The 23,935-nt window shown below is 42.7% G+C and overlaps 1 protein-coding gene across 2 annotated transcripts in view; it reads right to left on the bottom strand.

The window, feature by feature from the left end:
- CLCN4 (chloride voltage-gated channel 4) overlaps positions 459–23,935 on the bottom strand; it is an 80,686-nt gene continuing 57,209 nt past the window's right edge. For both annotated transcript variants that reach the window (NM_001830.4, NM_001256944.2), the window contains 2 exons: positions 17,242–17,458; positions 459–4,625 (listed from right to left, as the gene is read on the bottom strand). In NM_001830.4, the coding sequence (NP_001821.2) occupies positions 4,535–4,625; positions 17,242–17,458 (308 nt within the window). In that variant the 3' untranslated portion in view covers positions 459–4,534. The remainder of the gene's footprint in view (positions 4,626–17,241; positions 17,459–23,935) is intronic.

The following is a 23,935-nucleotide window of genomic DNA, read 5'->3' as shown; positions in this document are numbered from 1 at the left end:
CTTTCTTTTCTTTCTTTCAAATTTTCTGTAAAGTAGAAAGTTTTCACAAAAAAAAAGAAAAAATACTTGTGGGAAAAGACATAATTCAACCCTTGTGGTTCCCAAAGTAATAAAGGGAAAATTTGCTCCTGAAAGAAAGGATGAAAGAATGAATGAATGTTAGACCATTACCCAAGCCGTACTCCCCAGCCTTCACACAGGGCAAGCACAGATGGCCTGAGGACAGTGTTCCTACCCAATCCTTGGAAACTGATAGCCTCAGTCTGAATTTTCATTTGGTCACCGCCCACCCAGCCAAGAACAAGGAATTTTAAAGCTGACTAAATGGACTTCACAATCTGTGTGCCCGTCTTAAGATGGCTCTTTAACTTTACTGGATAGTTCTACCAAGTCATGGGGACCAGGTTTCCAGAGGTTCTACTGCGTAGAAACACACTGTGAAATCAGTATCTCTTCCATTTACATGTTTGTTGCAGACTCTGTGCTTGTTTTATTTTTAAAAATAGAGTTCAGACATTTAATATTTAATAAGGTGTCAACGTTTACACAGAGTGTTACAATAAAAAAAAACCAACACGTTGCTATGTGGTCGTTCCAACACCAAATGTGAATATATCTCATCAAAGTCGCACGTAGGCTCATTCCCAGCACCTCTAGGATAGCAAATAAATAGTTATTACCGCGCCAGTGAAAATAGGGTCTGCTTAATGTTTCCCAAGTCAGATATACAGGCTCTCTCCTCATGTAAATCATTTCAAAGGCTAGAAGCTTAGTCTGATAGAACACTGCCCATACAAAATTAAAGCATAATATTACAATTATGTGGTAATTCAATAGTTCTCCTTGGGTTTCTCATCTTTTCCAGCTTAGCATCTAATAATGAATACTAAGTAGAATTTGCACATGTTGGTAATTTAAAGTAATCAGTTCTCACCTAAGTGAAACAAACTGCTCTAAAATTTTCCATTTCTGTGACTTATTAGGCTCAAAATCTATCAGTTTACACATCTCCTTTGTAAGGTCTTTGGGAAGGACTGAATAAAGAACTGAGATTACCTGGTTCAAAGTAACAGTAAGCACTGAATATTGAATGACTTCGACTTCTAGCACATTCTGCCTTTCCCTAAAAGCCACATGAGCATCATGCAATCGCAGGGGATGCACTAAAAACGACTTAGAAGAAACACACATGTCACTTCCAGGGTGCCCTTATTTGGTGCTTTTGTACAACACATTTCCTCAGTGAGAGCAAGAAACATGTGATGTATATCATGAAAGAGCTCCTTTCCCATGATGTGTTGATGGTTTTTTATGTTAAAACCCGATTCAGAAGGAATCCAGAAAGTTCTACAAATGTCTAAAGCCTTTGGTTCTGGAAGAGGAAAAAAAAAAAAACCTTATTCTGAAAGATGCTTATTTCACCTCCACGTCCCCATGCTGTTCATCAGATCACCAGATAAAGTGGATGGAAGTTCTGCATTTGGAGAGAGCAAATACCCTTGGGATCCCTACCCAACTACGTTTACAAGAAAGACAGAGCATGGCAGCATGTTCCCCATGGGGTTTGTCTGAGCCCCCGGGCCCCTGGGTGAGTGGACCACATGGCTGAGTTAGGACTCCACGGAAGGAAGGCAGTTTGCTGTGGTAGTCCCCACTGCAGACTCCTCATCCTTGACCTTAGTCCACCTGTCCAACTCTGGCCTTCTATTGAGGAGAGCCTGAACCCCACAATAAATCAGAGGTTCAACTTACGAAAGAAAGTAAGATTGGGTTGTTTCAGTCAAGTAACTCTTCCAACTGTTTGCCATGAATTTGCAGGTATCTCTACTCTAAGCACTGGGGAGGACACAAATCCCAAGGTCCCCCTCGGTGACCTTGGCCCGGAAGCATAATTTCCCCTCATTCCCCCCCATGGCCTCAGCCAGATTAGAAAGAAATGCTGTGGTTTCACTGACCTTTGGCTATCTTTTCACTGTTTCATGTTCCCTTTTGAAGCCACTTGTTTCAGCTAAAAGGACCTCCTGGATTCTATAAAGCCAGGCTATGACTAATACTCTTTCCCAGCACACGCTGGCTCTGAGGAGACCACAGGGGAATAAGAGGGGAACTACATGAAGCGGTCATTAAGACTTTTTGGATTTAAAGCCCAGGAGAATCCAACTTCACTTGTAAACGTTCCGCAGAAACCACAACACCAACACTAACATTAAGACCTGTTACTCAAGGCTTACGTGCTATAAATACGACAATGAATTTTATTCTTTTATAGGACCAAGGATTAAATTCTCTACTATTGACTGGATATTGTCACACTGAGGTGGCTACTTGATGTTATTTTGGAAGGAAGAGGTCAATGAATTACACAAACAAATTTTCTTATTGTGTCAGCATGATCTGACTTAAAATTTCTTAACCTGGAGAAAATATGTATTTTGCACATTAATTAGAAGTTCCATAGAAACCCATTTGTAGCTAGGTTTTTGTCCAACATGAAAATTCGTATTAGAGCTAAGAAATTATGGATTTGGGCTGGGAATTCTAGGTCAAATCTGAGAAAAGGGGTGGGGAACAGGAAGGTTAGAAGAACATTCACAGGGGTTTAGCAAGAATGAAAACCGGAAGGGCAATGACAAGGACACGATGATGGCATCCAATACAGCAAACTTCCCCTCCTGAAGACCAACACTCTTCCTTAATAAGATAATATGAATTTCGTTCAGAGAGTAATGTGCCTAGCTCAATATTTTCCTTCCCACACTAGTGTGCGGCTAGGGGGAGCCACGTGACAGACTTCCAGTCAATGGATACAAGCTGAGCGTCTCTGGGGAAGCTTTGCTTTCCTGATAGACATTGTACCTAGTTGCTTGCCTCTCCCTTCCTCTTCCCACTTAGAAAGCAGACATGATACCTGACAGTTCAGGAACCATCTTGCAACTCTGAGGCAATAAGCCAGAGGACAAAAGGTAAAAACGGTGAAAAAGAAATAGCAACGGGATGGGGATCCCAATGATGTTATGGAGACAGTCCTGGAGTACCCCCTCTCAGGGTTCTTATCCAGCCCTTCAGTGTTTGCTGGGTTTTCTGTTATTTGCAGCCGAATGCACACCTAAGTGATACAGCACTATCCAGTGACAATGAGATTGAAAAGGATGAGGGGCACTTAGTGAAAAGGAAGGGACAAAGACTAAAGAGAAAGGGCAAGTGGGATAATCTTACTTACACAGATCGTATGGTGGACCTAATACATAGCTTAATTCCTTCCCGCAGAAAAGACCGAAATCCTGACTAAAAGAGTAAATGTGTCGTTAAGTTCAAATACAAAGATGCCCAGTGCCCAAATTGGCTATATAAAATTTAATGCTGTCCTCCTGTGCTGTGATTGCTAGTATGAAGTGCATGCTTATACATTACAACTGGATGTTTTGCATCCTACAGAGAAGATAATGGAACAGATTTAGAATCAATTTAGTATTTCTCTTGCAATCCATTTGGAGGGATTCCAACTGACAACGCATATGCCTCATCCTCTCCACAGCCGTATCTGATAAGACCTGAGAGGAAAAATAAGTAGTAACATTGGGTAGCCTGTTTGGACTCTTGCATATGCTACTTGAAAATGAAAGCACGCTTATGGCAGGCTGGGGGCATACCGGCTATGGCCCATGGAAGTGCTGAGCTGATCAATATTGAATGCATGGGCAAAAGCAATAAATAAATGAAGCAAATGCCATGGGGATGCAAATCAATGATCGGGTGAGTATACCCTCAAAATAAGGATGTGTCCCTTTGTATGGGAGGAGACACACCGCAGTACTGTATGCTCCAATAGTTCATCGTGCAGTCCCAGGATGCCAGTCTTGCATAGAGAAATGATTTCTTCACACTCATCATGGCAGGTGCCCCTGATGTTGGTTCAGAAACTGATGGATAAGCCAGATAACAGGCTGAGAACAGGAGCAAGAAACAGGACGGTCGTGAGCGGACCCACTGGCATACTTGCAGCTTTCACTGTGTTCAAATTTAATTTCTTTTTCTTTTTCAACAAAGTAAGCGCAAATGTCTTTAGTATGATTCAGTAACATAGCAGCAAAACTTCAAGAACCAATAAATAAGGACGCTGACATGCCGATGCCCCTTTGTCTTTTGGACTCAACACTTCACGTGTGTTCATAAGTTACAAACATCAGCCTTGAGCAGAAGGAGTAAAAGTTTCTTGAGTCAGCATTCATGCTCCACATACTTGTACAGATCACATCATTTACATCATTTACCCACCCACATGCCCCCACAGCAGTAGCAAACTCATTAGGAAACACAGCTTGAAACTCATACGGGGTTAAAGCTATAAAATGCCTACTCATTGATGTTTTTGTTTTTGTTTTTAAAGGTTTCATCCTTCTTCCCCGCCTTTCCAAAAAAGCTTTTGTTTCTGCTGTCCCCAATGCATGATCTTTCATTGGGATAATAACATATCATTTATTTCTTTTTAAATGACACAGTCAGTGTTTTTCTGAAAATAATTGCCACCTTGTTGCTAATTAAACATGATGGATTCGGGGTCCTGGTTTGCCATCTGGGCCATATGTCTCAGAACATCCTTTTTTGTGATGATGCCAAGAAGTCTCCTGGAGAAGAAACAAAATAGAGAAAAGAGGTCAGCCTTGAAACGACGACTCATCCCTCTCCCTAAACCCCAGTGCCTTTTCCATGTGGACACAGAGACAGACAACATTTCCCAGCCTCCCTTGTGGTTAGGCAGAGCCAATGGAGGGAGCACTGGCCAATGCCTGTGGGTGGAAGTGACAGATGCTGCTCCCAGGTCTCCTGTGCATTTCCCCCCACTCTCTCTTCTCATCTGGCAGCCAGAGGCACAGGAGCCAGTGAAGGGCTCTGAGGATTGACTTAGGAGCCACCAGATTCAAACACCTAGGTCCAGAGCCCACCTGCAATCCACAGTGGATGTAACATGTGAGAAAAATAAACCTTTATTGCATTAGGCCACAGAGATTGCAAGCTTGTTTATTACGGCAGTAAACCTATGATGACTACTATATCCTCTTAAATTTCAAGACTATAATCAATTTTAAAAGGGTTTATGAAAGGCATTGTCAAAACTTGACCACACCACAGGAATGCCAAGTGTAAGGTATTTTAAGTATAAGAAATTTTAAGTACAAGATAAAAAGTGATTCTATTTGTAATTCTTACTGGGAGGATAAAGTTGACATTTATCTCTGACTATATACGTAAATTGCCTTCTCTTCCAAAATTCCATTGCTTTCAACTTACAAAAAGAATGCCACTTCCCAGAGTCCATTGTATGGGACCACCAAGACTGTATATCACACAGTGCCAAGGAGCACTGCTCACAAACACTGCAGTAGAAATTGTGCCCTCTGGATTATACAGTGCACATTTGCACAACCATTCATAGCAAGCCTTGTTTCATTATTTTACTAAATGACCACCTGCAGGAACACATCATGTCCCTTGGGTAAAATGAAAGGTCTGAGAGAAGGAGAAGTGAACAACTTCTTTGGAAAAAAAGAAGCTCCATTCCCACATAAGTTTGCAAAACACTACTCACTGTATCTCCACTGTACCCCCCAAAAAAGGGGTATGCAGAAGCAAACTCTGGTAGTCTTGCATTAAAATACTTTATAGCTATTAAAATAATGGGTTTCTACTCTGTGTAATATGATAATATACAAAAGAAATCAGAAAACCTAACTGTAATATACTGTCATTTATTTAATTAAGGCAAAATTAGTCAAATTTATCTCTTAGTGAATATGAAGAAGGGATGTAAGTATTCTAAGCAGTATTCAAATCAGTTACACCTGGTGAAATAGACACTGATTATTCAAACTGTCAGGCCAGAATTCTGACTTTTTTGGCTCTGACAACACTGGACCTTAAACAGTCTTGGAAAAGGTATCCGTTTCTTGTGTTGGTTTCCCTATGTATCACACTGAGAGAGACAGCAAATAAGACCCCTTCCCCTCCATCTCATGGCAACATCTTTAGGAGAGAGGAAAATAGTGAAAGAGCATGCTAAGCAAACAGAATAATGACAATATGAATTACAAAAACATTAAAAGAATATATCATGACCCTACAGGGATTGTTTTTCTTAAATGGGGAGGAATACTTGATAAACGTAGGAAGCAGGACAGAATTTGATAATTAATACTTTGCAACCCCCAATGTAATAGTTAGCTTAGGCAATAATTGTCAATGGATACCAAAATCACTGGGCGAATGGTTGCTGGAAAACAGAAAATTCACATGGTCTCAAAGTACTTTCCTACAGATTATGAACAAAGAGAAAAATGTCACTTTACAATGGAGGGTTCTGGCCATCACCACCTCATCCGAGCAATGGAGCTTATCATCAACAAAGTCAGAAAAGCAGACTCCATAGCGTTACCTATGTTGGAATGCTGCCAAAAACGACTTATGCCAAACTGAATCATGAGGAAGTAATCAGACCCAGAATGTGAGACTACTGGTCTGGACTCTTCAAAGGAAATCTTTGCAAGTAACAAACCTGCACATGTATCTCCTGTGTCTAAAATAAAATTTGGAATTATGTTTAAAAATCTCTCATTAAAAAAACAACAACAAGGCAGGAAACTGTTCTAGACAAGAGACTAAAAAGGCAAAAGAATGCAATGCACAAACCTTGATGGAATTCTGAGTTGATATTTGAATGAATATCAACTGGATATTGGATGATATATTGAGTTACTGTTAATTTTACATCATCATGGTTTGGTAGTTATGTAAAGAAAACGTCTTAGAAGACGTCTGCTTCATTCATAATTGCCAAAACCTGGAAGCAACCAACATTTTCTTTAGTAGGTGACTGGATAAACTGAACCATGGCATATCCAGACAATGGATATTCTTCAGCAATAAAAACAAAAGTGCTATCAAGTCATGAAAAGACGTGGAGAAAAATCAAAATGTGTATTGCTGAGTGAAAGAAGCCAGTCTGAAAAGGCTACATACTGAATGATTCCAACTACATAATATGCAACATTCTGGAAAAGGCTAAACTATGGAGACAGTAAAAAGATCAGTGGTTGTCAGGGTTTGGTGGGTGGAAGAGAGGGATAAATAGGCAGAGCACAGGGGATTTTTAGGGCAGTGAAACTACTCTGTATCATCCTGTAATGGTGGACACATGATATTATATATTTGTCAAAATCCACAGAAATATATGACACAGAGTACACTCTAAAGTAAACTATGGATGTTAGTTAATAATAATGTATTGATATTGGTTCATCAATTACAACAAATACAACAGTAATGCAAGATATTGACAATAGGGGAAACTGAGGGGAGTGAAGGGGATATATGAGAACTCTGCATATTTTGCTCAATTGTTCTGTAAGCCTAAATGTTGTTATAATCCTGAAACAAGAGCTACCTAAAGGAAACAAATGTTAGCACTCTTCTTTGCGGTGAGATGCTGAGTTCTCCTGGGAAAACCCATCTGTGAGTATGAACACAGTTGACAGATTCAAGGCCCAACAAGGGCTCTGGTCTCCTCACACAGGAAGGTTGCTGGGTCCAGCTGGCAGAGCCTGAAACCATTTCTTTCCATCCTGATTTGTTTTAGCTGCTTCGGGCTCAACTGTCATAATGAGGGCCCATTGCAATCAATCAACCAGAGATACACATTTTCTCAAGGGCACTGTTACCCAATACTTCGCCAAATCACCCTGCTTCTACGGTTGCAAAAGCTTTAGTGGGCCCCGGTCTCATTAGAGTTGCCCTTTTGCTTTGGCAGCCATGTATTGCTGCTGAGAAGAGCAGTCCAGGCCTCCAGACTTGAGGCATGTCAGAGCCAGAGGCCCACATAAGAAATAAAGGTTTCCCAATCAACAAAGTGAAGAGACAACCCACAGAATGGGAGAAAACACTAGCAAACTACCCATCTGACAAGGGATTAATAAGCAGAATATATAAGGAGCTCAAACAACTCTATAGGGAAAAATCTAATAATCTGATCAAAAAAACGGGCAAAATATTTGGATAGACATTTCTCAAAAGAAGACATACAAATAGCAAACAGGTGTATGAAAAGAGTACAGCTGGATAGTTTGTAACACAAAGGGTAAATGCTTGAGGGGGTGGATGCCCCATTCTCTATGATGTGATTATTATGCATTGCATGCCAGTATCAAAACATCTCATGTGTTCCATACCCAAAGGAATATAAATCATGCTGCTATAAAGACACATGCACATGTATGTTTATTGCAGCACTATTCACAATAGCAAAGACTTGGAACCAACCCAAATGTCCAACAATGATAGACTAGATTAAGAAAATGTGGCACATATACACTATGGAATACTATGCAGCCATAAAAAAGGATGAGTTCATGTCCTTTGTAGGGACATGGATGAAGCTGGAAACCATCATTCTGAGCAAACTATCACAAGGACAAAAAAACAAACACCGCATGTTCTCACTCATAGGTGGGAATTGAACAATGAGAACACATGGACACAGGAAGGGGAACATCACACACCGGGGCCTGTAGTGGGGTGGGGGGACGGGGGAGGGATAGCATTAGGAGATATACCTAATGTAAATGATGAGTTAATGGGTGCAGCACACCAACATGGCACATGTATACATATGTAACAAACCTGCACGTTGTGCACATGTACCCTAGAACTTAAAGTATAATAAAATATATATATATATATATTTTAAAAATCTCATGTGTTCCATAAATATACACATCTACTATGTACCCACAAAAATTTAAATAAATGTTTTTAAACAAGGTTTCCTCCCAGAGTCAGGAAATTTTGTTCTAGCTCTGATAATTCTAATTAATTTCAAGAAAGCAGTGACAGCTAGGAAAGGCGGCTTTGTTACTGGGAAGGGCCTCTATTTACAGGCAGATAGGAATCCCCAGTGAGGCCCCCTCCCATGCGGTAGCAGCAAAATGCAAGCTGGGCCAATAGGACTCCTTCCACCCATCCAGCCCTCCACCTGGGAAGGCTTTACGCAGGGTTTCTCCACCTTGGCACTAGTGACATTTAGGTTGGCTAATTATTTGTTGCAGATAGGCCATTCTGTGCACTGTAGAACATACAGCAGCATCCTGGGCCTCTACCCACTAGATGCAGCAGCATCCCCATCCCCCATTATGGCAACCAAAATGTCTCCAGACAATGCCAAATGTCTCCTGTGGAGGGGGGACAAGATAGCCCCTGGTTGAGAACCACCATCCAGATTAAAAAGTACTAAAATAGTTCTACACCGGTTGGTTTATAGCCACTGAGCTAGACACCCTGGGATGTACCCTGCCAACCTCATACCTTATAGAACTGCAGTGAACTCCCCACAATTCATAACAAATCAGTTCATTATCTGGCACCAGCTCTTAAACACTTTGACTATTACTCCCAGCCAGAAGCTTTCAGACACAAATAGACCTCTGTGGGTGAATCTATAATACACCGTCAGCATGGGACACAGGAATCCCGTTACCTGGCCCCATATCCTCTGTATTTTACTGAACAGGTATCCCAAAATGCAGCCATTCCAGGAATCTGGATACTTAAGGATGCTGCCACATATCTTCCCATCACGCCCAGGTCTACTCCCCACTGTCGTTGGTCCCAGAGGGTGCTGTACGGAGGGGATTGATGTCCTCAAGGGTCAGGGTCGGCTGGCAGGGTTCTCCATCAAAGGTCCTCCCGGTACCTGGCAGCTGATTGTGCCTCAGGAGATAGGAGACCTGGAAGAATCCAGATGGGACTGGCTCTGCAACCAATTCCCTTTAACCCTGAGCAGTGTTTTGCTTCTTAGAGTCTCACCTCCTCATTTGAAAACTAAGGGGAATGGGGGAGGGGGGAGGAGGGGATGGAGGATGGTTAATGGGTACAAAAAATAGTTTAAAAGAATGAATACGATCTAGTATTTGATAGTGCAACAGGGTGACTACAATCAATAATTTAACTGTACATTTAAAAATAACTAAAAGAATTGGAATGTTTGTAACCCGAAGGATAAATGCTTGAGGTGCTGGGAGACCCCATTTACCCTGATATGATTATTATGCATTACATGCCTGTATCAAAATATACCATATACCCATAAATATATACTCCTATGTACCCACAAAAATTAAAAATAATTTAAAAAAAAGAAAAAAAGGGAAACCAAATGTCCATCAACTAATGAATTGATCAGCAAAATGTGGTCTATCCACACAATGCAAGATGATTCAGCCCTAACAAGGAAAGAAGTACAGACACATCTTCAGTGTGGACGAACCTTGAAAACATGATGCTCAGTGAAAGAAGCCAAATACAAAAGGCCACATAGTGCATGACTGTATTGACATGAAATGTCCAGAATAGGCAAGTCCACAGAGACAGAAAATATAGAGTAGTGGTTGCCAAGGACTGTGGTATAGGAGGTAACAGCTAAGGGGTGTGGGGTTTCTTTTTGGGGTGATGAAAATGATCTAAAATTGTGGTGATTAATGCACAACCCATTTTCTACTAAAAACCACTGAATCATGCATTTTAAATGGGTGAATTGTACAATATGTTAAATAGGAATGGTGAGAGAGAGCATCTTTGTTTTGTGCTGGTTTTCAAGGGGAATGCTTCCAGGTTTTGCCCACTCAGTATGATATTGGCTGTGGGTTTGTCATAAATGGCTCTTATTATTTTGAGGTATGTTCCATCAATACCTAGTTTATTGAGAGTTTTTAACATGAAGGGATGTTATTTTTATCGAAGGCCTTTTCTGCATCTATTGAGATAACCATGTGGTTTTTGTCTTTCATTCTGCTTGTGTGATGAATTACGTTTATTGATTTGTGTATGTTGAACCAGCCTTGCACCCCAGGGATGAAGCTGACTTGATCGTGGTGAATAAGCCTTTTGATATGCTGCCGGGTTCAGTTTGCCATTATTTTTTTTTATTGAGGATTTTTGCATCAATGTTCATTAGGGATATTGGCCTGAAGTTTTCTTTTTTTGTTGTATCTCTGCCAGGTTTTGGTATCAGGATGATGCTGGCCTCATAAAATGAGTTCGGGAGGAGTCCCTCCTTTTCAATTGTTTGGAATAGTTTCTGAAGAAATGGTACCAGTTCCTCTTTGTACCTCTGGTACAAAGAATTCAGCTGTAAATCTGTCTGGTCCTGGGATTTTTTTGGTTGGTAGGCTATTTATTACTGCCTCAATTTCAGAACTTGGTCTATTCAGGGGTTCAACTTCTTCCTGGTTCAGTCTTGGGAGGGTGTATGCATCCAGGAATTTATCTATTTCTTCTAGATTTTCTAGTTTATTTACATAGAGGTGATACAGTATTCTCTGATGGTTGTTTGTATTCCTGTGGGGTCAGTGATGATATCCCCTGTATCATTTTTTGTTGTGTCTATTCGATTCTTCTCTCTTTTCTTCTTTATTACTCTAGCTAGCAGTCTATTTTATTAATTTTTTCAAAAAAACAACTCCTGGATTTGTTGGGTTTGTTGATTTTTCGAAGGGTTTTTTGTATCTCTGTCTCCTTCAGTTCTGCTCTGATCTTGCTTATTTCTTGTCTTCTGCTAGCTTTGGGGTTTGTCTGCTCTTGGTTCTCTAGTTCTTTTAGTTATGATGTTAGGGTGTTGACTTGAGATCTTTCTAGCTTTTTGATATGGGCATTTAGTGCTATAAATTTCCCTCTTAACACTGCTGTAGCTGTGTCCAAGAGATTCTGGTATGTTGTCTCTTTGTTCTCATTGGTTTCAAAGAATTTCTTGAGTTCTGCCTTAATTTTATTATTTACCCAGGAGTCATTCAGGAGCAGGTTGTTCAATTTCCATGTAGTTGTGTGGTGGTTTTGAGTGAGTTTCTTAATCTTGAGTTCTAATCTGATTGCACTGTGGTCTGAGAGACCGCTTGTTATGATTTCAGTTGTTTTGCATTTGCTGAGGAGTGTTTCACTTCCAATTATGTGATTGATTTTAGAGTAAGTGTCATGTGGCGCCAAGAAGAATGTATATTCTGTTGTTTTGAGGTGGAGAGTCCATATAGCCCAGAAAATCCTAAGCAAAAAGAACAAAGCTGGAGGCATCATGCCACCCAACTTCAAACTATACTACATGGCCACAGTATCCAAAACAGTACAGTACTGGTACATAGATCAATGGAACAGAATAGAGATCTCAAAAATAAGACCACATATCTACAACCACCTGATCTTTGACAAAGCTAACAATCAATGGGGAAAGGACTCCCTATTTAATAAATGATGCTGGGAGAATTGGTTAGCTATATGCAGAAAATTGAAACTGAACCCCTTCCTTATACCTTACACAAAAATTAACTCAAGATAGATTAAAGATTTAAATGTAAAACCCAAAACGATAAAAAGCCTAGAAAAAAAATCTAGGCAATACCATTCAGGACATAGTCATGGGCAAAGATTTCATAACGAAAACCTCAAAAGCAATTGCAACAAAAGCAAAAGTTGACAAATGGGATCTAATTAAACTAAAGAGCTTCTGCACAGCAAAAGAAACTATCATCAGAGTGAACGGACAACCTACAGAATGGGAGAAATTTTGCAATCTATCCATCTGACAGAGGTCTAATATGCAGAATCTACAAGGAACTTAAACAAATTTACAAGAAAAAAACAACCCCATCAAAAAGTGGGCAAAGGACATGAACAGACACTTCTCAAAAGAAGACATTTATATAGCCAACAAACATATGAGAAAAAGCTCCACATCACTGATCATTAGGGAAATGCAAATCAAACCCACAATGAGATGCCATCTCACATCAGTCAGAATGGCAATTATTAAAGTCAAGAAACAACAGATGCTGGTGTGGAGCAAGAGTGTGGAGAAACAGGAATGCTTTTACACTGTTGGTGGGAATGTAAATTAGTTCAACCATTATGGAGGACAGTGTGGCGATTCCCCAAAGACCTAGAACCAGAAATACCATTTGACCCAGCAATCCCATTACTGAGTATATACCCAAAGGAATATAAATCACTCTATTATAAAAATACATACACACGTATGTTCGCTGCAGCACCATTCACAATAGCAAAGACATGGAACCAACCCAAATGCTCATCAGTGATAGACTGGATAAAGAAAATGTGGCACATATATACCATGGAATACGATGCAGCCATAAAAAGGAATGAGATCATGTCCTTTGCAGGGACATGGATGGAGCTGGAAGCCATTATCCTGAGCAAAATAACACAGGAACAGAAAACCAAACACTGTATGTTCTCACTTACAAGTGGGAGCTGAACAATGAGAACACATGGACACAGGGAGAGGAACAGCACATACTGGGGCCTGTCGTGGATGTGGGGAGGGAGAGCATCAGGATAAATAGCTAATGCATATGGGGCTACCTACCTAGGTGATGGGTTGGTAGGTGCAGGAAACCACCATGGCACACGTTTACCTATGTAGCAAGACTGCACTTCCTGCACATGTATCCCGGAACTTTAAATTAAATTAAATTAAAAAAGAAAAAACAGAACAGTCCCCCCGGAGCGCCTGCCTTGGGTAGCACCACTTAAACTGGATTATGTCCATGTTCTTTAGTAGATAACAAGCTCCTTGGCTTTTTTTTTTTTAAACACTTTTTGTGCCCCCTACAGTTCCCAGCTAAAATAGATGCTCAATATAATGTTGATTAAACCAATGTTGCTTTGAAAAAAATAAGACTTGTTAGTGTTTGCAAAGTGATGATAACTATAACACACACACACTCACATACACACACACACACACACACACACACACACACACACACACGGAACCCTCCCATATCTATAAATCCTGGTTTTTGTTTCCTTGTCTTCACCCTGGAGACAGTATCAAAAGATCAAGCATTTGCAGTTCTGAAAACCTCCTTTTAAAGCTCTGTGACTGTAATGTCTAAAAGTTAAGTTGATTATAACAGCACTAGGGAAATATGAATTCAGGAGCTGCCTTGGGTTCGTGCATAAATTGTGCCCTGGCCCGCGATGGTAATTATCACAAAAGAAGAAAGCTGAACATCAACCCAGAAGGAGGTAACATCAAATCCAGCAGGCTTCGTTAGTGGCATGAAATGTCCTATTTGATTTAAATCAAGTGTTTGAACTTCCAGCCCCTTTGAGTAGCAGTTGAAGCGAATTCAGCGAATTATAAATGGCCAGATCTATGACCAAGGACATAATTCAAATTCGAGCAGCTGGGCTCTTCTGCGAAAGCTATCCTGTCCAGGCCCCTGTGGACCACCTAGCAGGGCTTGGGGAAAATCTGACACCATCTCCCTTACTCACTTTTCCTTTCTAGAACTTTCATAGGGAAAATCTCACCCAAATTCACTCTTAGCAACTGGAGGCTTCCTAGATTGCGGCATTCCGATTCCTGGTCCAGTTTTATGATGCCCCTTGAACCCCAGGCCTGAGAAATGCTGCAGGTGATCCAGGCCAGCGGTGGAGCTCAGGCTCGTGGCCATCCCGAGCAGGGAAGGTACAGGGTGGGCGAGCACATCAAACATGAGAGCTGGCCAGAGACGTGCCTGCCCTGGCAAGAAGCCCAAGGAGATGAAAGGCCCCGCAGACAAGCATCCCTTGCCAGCACTAACGCAGCAGCATCTGTGTTTGTGTAAAAGATGTAGAGCGAGAGAGAGTGCGATTTTGCTTTCTTGAAGCACATTCAGAGCCAATTTCGGCACCCAGATCTTCACAGGAAGACCTCATGGGGCTCTATGAGGTGTGAGCGGGCATTAAGGGCAGAGTTTCCTGCCTGAGCTGAAATTCCAACGATAATTGACTTTGGATTATTGTTTTAAAGGAAAGGAGAAACTGCTACACACTTGAGACAGCATGGGCAATCACAGTGGTGTTTATACCAAGAGTACTGGAAACTCAAGTGCATAAATCGACTTCAGTGGTTCTCAAGGTGGGGTCCCCAGACCGGCAGTTGCAGCATCACCTGGGAGCTTGTTAGGAAAGAATATTCTTGGGCCTCACCCTAGACTTCCAGGGATCAGTACCTCTGTGGCAGGGCCCAGAAATCTGGATTTAACCTGGAGGTTTAATCCTCCAGGGTATTTTGATCCACACTCAAGTTTGAAAAACCACTTGAGCTCCTTTAAAATTCATCAGCAGAAATGATCCCTAGCCTTGTCAAACACAAGGACTCATTTATTTTTCCCTATTGATTGCACCTCCCACATGCAAGACACTGCTCTGTCTGTAGTCAGAGCTAAGGAGGATGCTCACTCTGCTGGCCAGGAGTTCTCTGGGTAAATCTGCAAATTGCAAAGCCTGTCCCCCTGTGTGCTTGCTACCAGGACAGCAGGAAGAAAGTGGAATGAATAGGATTGCTCATTTGGCTATACAGGCACATCCAGTCCAAGGTCACTCAACTGCACGACTAGTGACATTTTGGGCCAGATGTTTTGTTGTGGAGCTGTCCTGTTCACTGCAGGATGTTTAGCAGCGCCCCTGACCTCTACTCACTAGATGCCAATAGCATCCCTCCCTCCAGTCATGACACCCCAAATTGTCTCCAGACATTGCCCAATGTCTCTGGGAGGTAAAATCATCCCAGTTGAGAACTGCTGTGTTAAACTAGAGTGTGCTGGCTCTGGAAATATAAGCTATATTAGATAGTTGAGCCTCTGGAGTCTATAAAGGCCTAAACTTTATTAGGTACCAATGTCTCCAGAACCCATTCCCCGCCTCCTACTCCCAGCCCATAAAGGAATAAAATGGGCAGATAACCCTAGGTTCCAGGCTACCCTGACCAAGCCGACCCCTTCCCTTACACAAGCTTCTGACACCATGGAACTTGTGACACTCAGAGGCCAAGGAATGACCTTTAAGGAACTGCTTCTCTGGTGCTACTACAGTGGACCCTCGATCTTTGCATTGTTGGTTTCCTGATTTGTGACAACACAAAACAAAAGTGGCAGCAGGGACAATGCCATGGGGCCATCAAATCTCTCCATTCTCCAATCATGTTTGTTTCGAAAACAAAGTTGTTTCAAACAAATTGATATATCAGGAACAATCTGAGCATAATATGAATTTTACCTTTGCTTATGTGTGATTTCATCCATGAGAAGCTCTAGGCAAATGCAGGAAACTGTACCCAGCTGAACCCAGTGGGATCGGCATACACAAAATGCACATGCCCGGCCCCCAAACATCCACAAGCGACCTCAGTTCATGCATGCGTGAAGAGCCATGCCCATCCACACCTGCTGTGACCACTTCCCCTTGAGTTCAGGCTCCCCTCCTTCCACCCCTTCCCGGTAATTCGGAAGTGGCACAGCTTGTGAAACCCACCCCACAGCCAACTTCAGGCCTTTTTAAGATGAAGTGACATATTTCTGTTGTATCCCTGTATTTCTTAACCATTTAACTAATGTGTAACATGGTACTACCACTATTCTTTTTACAAGACAGGGTCTCATTCTGCTGCCAAGGCTGGAGTGCAGTGGTGCAATCCTGGGCCACTGCAGCCTTGGAAGCCTGGGCTCAAGTGATGCTCCTGTCTCAGCCTCCCAAGTAGCTGGGACTATGGGCACACTTGGCTGATTTTATAAAAATTTATCTGTAGAGATAGGGTCTTGCGACCCAGGCTGGTCTCGAACTCCTGGGCTCAAGTGATCCTCCACCTCAGCCTCCCGAAGTGCTGAGATTACAGGCACGAGCCACTCACTGCACCTGGCTCGGTACTACCATTCTTATTAGGCTTCCACCTCTTTTATGTCATATATCACTGATGAAGTTTTTGACTGTTGTGTACCTAACCCCATTTTTCCCACAAGTCCTGTGGTTTGCATGGAGCACTTTTTGCGTAGTGCTGTGATTTTGAGGACCGCATACATCACGTTATAGCAGAACCTCCTCCCTAAGCCAAGTGTCACATGGGGTGGTAGAAAAGCAACACCAAGCCCTTCTCCTGTGGCTCCACCCCTTTTTACTCAACCTCCCTCAGCCCAGGCAGCAGTCCAGCCTGGACCACCCCCTTCTCTGGCTGCACGGCTGCCCAGCCCTCAGTCCCAAGCTCCCTGTACATTTCCTCCTCAACACATTCACCACAGCTTACTGCCATTCTCTGTCAAGGACTATTCCACCCCATGGCCCTCCACATTCTTCAGGGCTGAGACCATGTCTCACTCATCTTTTTCTCCCTAGGTCATTCTGGCCACATGTCCGGCTACTCACCCGCTCCGCGTCACCAGGCACTGCCGAAGCCCCAGTTTCCGGAAGATATCCACCACCGTTTCCATCGGAGTGTGGTCTGTCACTGTAAACGGGCTGAGGTTCAGGATGCGCCGCAGCTTCAGGGGATGTGGGCTGTTGGCCGGCAGCTCGGGGGGTTCCTCCGTGAAGTACATGATGGAATTGCTCACAATGCCCTCCTGCCTCTGTCTGGCGTTCTCTAGAATGGGGTGAGCAGGAACAATGAGCCACACAAAAACCCCTTGCTGAGCAATTCCCCACCCCACACTCACACACACCATCTAGAATCCCACAGAAAAGGGGTTTGGAGGATGAACCACACATTCTTAATAAGGGGCTTTAGCCAAACATCTGTGGAATTGGCATCTCTCTGCAGCTAATGCTGTGTGAGGGTCCCCTGCTGTGACCGGATCATTTGTTGCCAAAGTCTGGCAAGATGGGCCTGACCCAGATGGCCCCTTTGGGGACATTCACTGCTTCACCGCAGACTCCGGGCACCCCAAACAGCCCAGGGCCCTCCACTCTGGCTTTCCTTACGCTCCTTCACCTCATCATGGGCTGGAGTTTGAGGTGACAAGAAACTTACTTAGCTGCCCGATGACCTTAATACATTGTTTTTCTTTTTACGAACTAACTTATAACTGGCCCAAATGGCATTATGAATCCTGGGAGGAACAAGAAACCAATACGGCCAGCCCAGGCTCACAGCCCAGAAATGCAGCTCAATCCCAAACGCGACCCTTGGGTCCAAAGAAACAACCCCAGAAAAGCTGCATCCCCCCTCAACCCTTCGGATCTCCTGTCTTAAAAATGGGCCATTTTGTGGATCCCTCAAAGAAAGATAGTAAAACTGTTATGGTAGCAATTAGCCTATTTCTGTCTATAGAAAAGGCCATGTGAAAGAAAGCTGAAGAAAAGTAGGGTAACAGGAACTCATTAGAAATACAGCTTAACGCGGTGCTAGAAACCCAGGCTATTTTAAGCCACACATGAAATAAATCCATCGGTCTCAAGATATTTCTCCAAGGCGATTTTCCTTCTGTTGGAATTTTAATCTTTCTTTTGGTTCATGGGAAAAGGTTAGGGAAAATGTACAGCAAGGCTTGCTTTAAAATGGATCCTGGTTCCCATAATACACTTCTTACCTTCTCAAAGACTACTATTCACCTATATTGTTCTTTCAAAAATAAAATTCTAACTGCCTCCTCTAAGGCCATTTAGTGCAATAGAGTACTCTAATGGAAAACTGGCAGCATCTGGGGTCAGGCTGAGTCTGAAAAAGGGTCTCTGTTTAAAAGAGGAACAGAGGGCCTGCTGGGCAAATGCCTTCACATTACATGGGTCAGGTTAAATCAAGTTACATCAAATGGGGTATGATTCTGCCACAAATACCAGACGACTCTGAGGCACAACGCGTTTTCAAATGTAGACTGTTCGATATATACTACGTACTTCTCTCCTAAACCAAGATGATTCTGTCCTTACCCACTAAGGCAGGGAGGCAACTGGCAACACACACTTATTTGCTCATTCCCATAGACCAGCCGATTCTCTTAAAGTCCCACTAACAGGATTTCCATCAATTTCAACCACTGAGTGAATGTCAGGATTGGATCAAGTTGCAAACCCCAATCAAGAGTTGATGACATGGATTTGCTGAACCCCTTCTAAAACCAAATACAATTTAATAAATGGTCGATCCACTTGCTACAATAAAATAAATAACATGCTTATATCTCCTTTGAACCTACTGATTGGGTTAGAAGCCCTGATTCTAACAGCCACTAGCTCAATGAACTCTTGCTCACCAGTGCACTCCCAGTGCCTGGACAATGCCTAACACACAGTAGACACAAAACAGATATTTGCCAAATGCACATATGAATGAACGGATGAGTAGGTCTACTAAATGTCAGTGTATCTGGTTCTGCCTGCCACATAAAACTGAACCTATCTCACATAGGAGGCATCAGGAAGGAAAGCACACAAGGTATTTACTGCCAAGCAAAAATATAGGCATCAGCTAGGGTCAGAGCCAGAAGCCTGAGCTATGCACCTTGCTGTTCCCACAGTGGCAACTGCTACTCTCCTCAGAAAGGTTCTGCTAGGCCACTTTGGAACTCTATTACAGACTTACAGGAGGCTTCAAACTTTGTGGGTAGAGGTGCTAAGAACAGGCAAAAGCCTGTGAATGGAAGAACAACCAGCAAGAAAGCTCTTTGCAATTCTCTACCAGGGTGAAACATCTGCTCTCAGTTTGGACCAGAAATCATCAGACACCAAAATGCCTGCATGTAAGTTCACAGAGGGCAGAGGCAGTGTGCTGTCATCCCTGGACTCTGAGCTTCTAGGATGGTATCAGCACATGGTGGACACTTAAGAAATATTTCCTGTGTGAAAGGATAAACCAACTAACTCCTCACCCAGGGGATGAGCCAGTGCTACAAGAAAAGAGACCCACAGACCCTAGGAACACTTGGGAGTCTGTGTTGAAAAAGAAACCAAAACAATACAACCGAAAATGCATCTTTTTAAAAGACCTAAAAGACAAAAAGGAAATGCACTAAATATCAATCATGTCTTCTTTGGTGATAAGAATGTAGGTGGCTTTTTAAATGTTTCCTTTTTCTTCTGATTTCCCCAATATTTGGAGTGTGTATTACTTTCATTTTGAAAAAATGTAATAAACTTCATTTTTAAATGTTTTAAAAATAGTTAAACTGTTTTTAAAACTGTCTTTAATGTAGGAGGTTTGTCATATATTCTACTAGAATGAGTCTCAGTGGCCACAGCTCTTAAAAAAGAATGTACATTTTAGGCCAGGCACAGTGGCTCATGCCTGTAATCCCAGCACTTTGGGAGGCTGAGGTGGGCGGATCACTTAAGATCAGGAGTTCGAGACCAGCCTGACCAACATGGTGAAGCTCCGTCCCTACTAAAAATACAAAAATTAGCCACGCCTGGTGGCATGCGCCTGTAGTCCCATCTACTCGGGAGGCTGAGGCAGGAGAATTGCTTGAATCTGGGAGGTGGAGGCTGGGGTGAGCCGAGATGTCGCCACTGCACTCCAGCCTGGGAAACAGAGCAAGACTTAGTGAAAAAAAAAAAAAAATGAAGGAATGTATATTTTATGAGCACCTGCTAAGGTTACTCAACATTCCATTTCCTAGAAGCAATATGTTCATATGCCAGATGTAGAGATGGTAAATAATAAAGTATGGGTAAGAGAAATTTCACAAACTATGTGATAGGCCAAGAAATTTTTCAAAATTGGAAATAATCACATATTCATTAGGCTATTGAGTGGCTTTAGAGCAATGGTTCTCAACTGGGAGCAATTCTGCCTCCACCCTCAGGGGACATTTGGCAATGTCTAAAGACATTTTTGGTTATCACAATAGGAGAGGGCAAGTGCTGCTGACATCCAGTGGGTGGAGCCCTGGGATGCTGCTCAGCACCCAAGAGTGCACAAGACAGCCCCAGCACAGAGAATCATCAAGCCCCAAATGTCAGCAGTGCTGAGGAGGAGTACTCCCACTTGAACTGTGTTTTTAGGGAAGTAATAGTCTATCATCCTGTTAATTAAAAATGCTTAGCCAGGCATGGTGGTGCAAGCCTGTAGTCCTAGCTTCTCCGGAGGCTGAAGCAGGAAGACTGCTTGAGCCCAGTGGGTAGAGGCTGCAGTGAGCTATGATCGCGCCACTGCACTCCAGCCTGGGTGAAACAGCGAGACCCTGTCTCAAAAAATTTTTTTAAATGCGTCCATAAGACAGATATAATTAATGAGATAGGTTAAAATGGAAAATTGAAAGCAACCACAGAAGTAGTACAAAGATGATATGATAAAAAAGTAAAGATTATACAGAAGAAAAAGCAGATTGTTTTACAAGTTATTGTCTGTCTACTAAAGCATGGAGAAGTCCCTCTATGTGTGTGTGTGTATATATATATATATATATATACACACACACACACACACATCCCCAACAGAAAGGTGTAGATGACACCACTATTCTCCATGACCTAGTCCAGTAACTAACAGCCCTCCCGGGCAGAAACCTCTTTCTCCCTTGTCTGACAGACCTGACACTTAGCTTCTTGTTCAGTGCTGGATGTAGACCCCTTTCTGCAACTAAGCGTCTTCCACATGCTGGAGAATCATTAGGTTGGTGCAAAAGTAATTGCGGTTCTTGCCATTGAAAGTAACGGCAAAAACCGCAACTACTTTTGTACCAGCCTAATAAATCATCCACCAGACCAAAAAAACCTGAGAGTTTCCTTAACTCTTCCCTGAAACTCTAACTTTCCACCCTTTAATCATCTCTGCAACTCCCCGCTGAGTCCTCTTTGAACCTCTACTTAACTGCAGAACTCAAGACAAGAAGCACCTGAGCCCTGCTAAGTACAGGCGAGTCCTCATATTTGCAGAGCAATGAGAGGTAAAGGCCCATTTGCCAGGAACTTGAGCAAGAGTCGCATACAGCCCCGTGTGCTAGTATGTGATGGTGAAGAGAGTCACGTTGCCTAGGTGGTGCTAACGACGTGCTCTCTAACAAAGATAACGCCATGCTTTGGCATTCCAAAACATAACAAAACATTTTCAGCTTCATGTGAGCAGTTGCTACAATTTTTAAACATGATATGTAAGAAAAATCCTTATTTACCTCACTTACCTTTCTTTTCTGATCCATACTATCTTGGATCTGTCTATAATCTTTGCTCCCAATTCCTCTAGGAAGTGAAATTGGCATGGGATAGTGTCTAGCTAAATGCTGTCATATTTCTATACTCATAAAATGGCACAAGATTCCTCAAATACAGGTCATGCACCTGTATTTCTCCACCAGAGTACAGGGGCTCTTCTATTTCCACAGGCCAGAAAAACAGCTTTTCTGATTCCTCAGAGCAAAACACTCCTTCCCTCTGCACAAACCATGTAAATAGCACCTTCTATATTATTATCGGTCTGATTGAAAGCATATAGGTAGTATTTACACCGTGTGGTGCCTCTTCAGACATTCCAAACATAGCTTCGAGAAGAGTACTTGGTTGGTAAGCTTAAATTTCTTCTCTAACTGGTTGATGACAATTACTGCTTCCCACTTGATTACAGTAATGGGTTTCAGCAAAATTAGTAAGCTGCCTCTTAGCAGGTGTGCCTGGAGCTATACAATAGATAATAGATTCTGTGACATTTATTACCTTAGTTTTTAAATTTCAACCTTTGCTTAAAAGATCCTAGGGAATGAAAAAATTTTTAAAGGCTGCTGATTACAGTATTTTTAAACAAACCCAATCCTACTTAACCTTAAAAAAACCTCATTATTTATAAGGCAATATTTACACAAAGGCACCTACCTACCCGTTAAGCAACAGGACCTATAATAAGGAGAAGCATCGCCGAACACTTAAGCACAAACTTGCTACGGTGTCTAAAATACAAAATCAATTTTTACTTTGGGGGAGGTAAAAATGTTTGAGTGTCAAGCTAAAATGGGAGAGGATAGCTTATCTCAACTTATTGTTATAAAGCCTTTGATGAAGATGCCTTAAAGATATTTTAAAGCTATGTAACACTGGGAAGAGGTTTAAGGGAGGTGCCTTGGAAACAGGAAACAAAGGACAGGGAGAGAAGTAAGCAGTTGCCTGGTGGAGATGTATTAACAGTGGGCCATTCCAACATCAGACCAGGGAAAGTCCCATTGACAAGCTTCAAGAATACTCTAGAAGATATATAGTAAAACTGTCGTGTGCACATGGGAGCCACGCCATGGGCCCTGGTCTATCATGAGATGCTGGAATGTTGTACAGATCACAGAGCAAGGATGGTGAGCGTGCCCGTGGATGTGCTATGCTGGTCCTTGCCCCTGCCACCTTGAGGCCCAGCAGGACTCTACCCCTCCAAGGCTCACAGCTTCTCCTTGCCTGGGGTCCCAGCAACTCACAACCAGACCTCTGGCCCTCAGCCCGCAGCCCTAGGCCCCTCTGTCTTAGGAATTCTCCTACCTCCTGTTTACCCTTCTGTTGGAGCCATCCCTCGGCTGATGGGGCCCATGGGCTTGCTTCTCTGATCCACCTGTCGTTGGGACACCCTGACCTGGGCATCATCCCATACTCCCCTCCCCCAACTCAACAGCCTGCCCCTCAGTGCAGCTGATTGTCATTCAAACACAAGAGGAAAATCATCTCACGCAATTGGTTTCAGCGATGTCTGCACATTTACCCACAAGGGCCTCTAACTGTGGAATCTGACATCATATCACAAAGTGAAGCAAAAGACTTGTGTGGTGGCAAGGGGTGTCTGGGGCAGAGAACTCGTGATCTCAGCCGGATGGTTGGTACACCTGAAAGTCTCTGAGACAGCTCAGCCCGGGCCACTCCAGGCTGTCGCCTCTCTTCCTTCTCAGCTTTAGCCAACAATTGCTGAAAGGCAGCAGCGGAGCAGGGCCAGGGGGCTGCTTGCAAACATGCAGTCACTTTGCAACCAAGAATGTCTACCCAAGACTTGGGTTTAAAGCCTTTTTCCTTACAGTGTGACGTGGGGACCAGCAATATCGGCGTTAATGGGGAACTTGTGAGGGATGTAGTATCGGATCCCACCCAAGACCTGCTCAATCAGAATCTGCTTTTGAGCCAGACCCCTGGGTGACCCAGAGACATGTGAAAGCTTGAGAGC

Source organism: Homo sapiens, chromosome X (assembly GCF_000001405.40).
Source record: "Homo sapiens chromosome X, GRCh38.p14 Primary Assembly".
In the NCBI taxonomy this organism is placed as follows: domain Eukaryota; kingdom Metazoa; phylum Chordata; class Mammalia; order Primates; family Hominidae; genus Homo; species Homo sapiens.
This window is presented reverse-complemented; position numbering and strand designations above follow the sequence as displayed.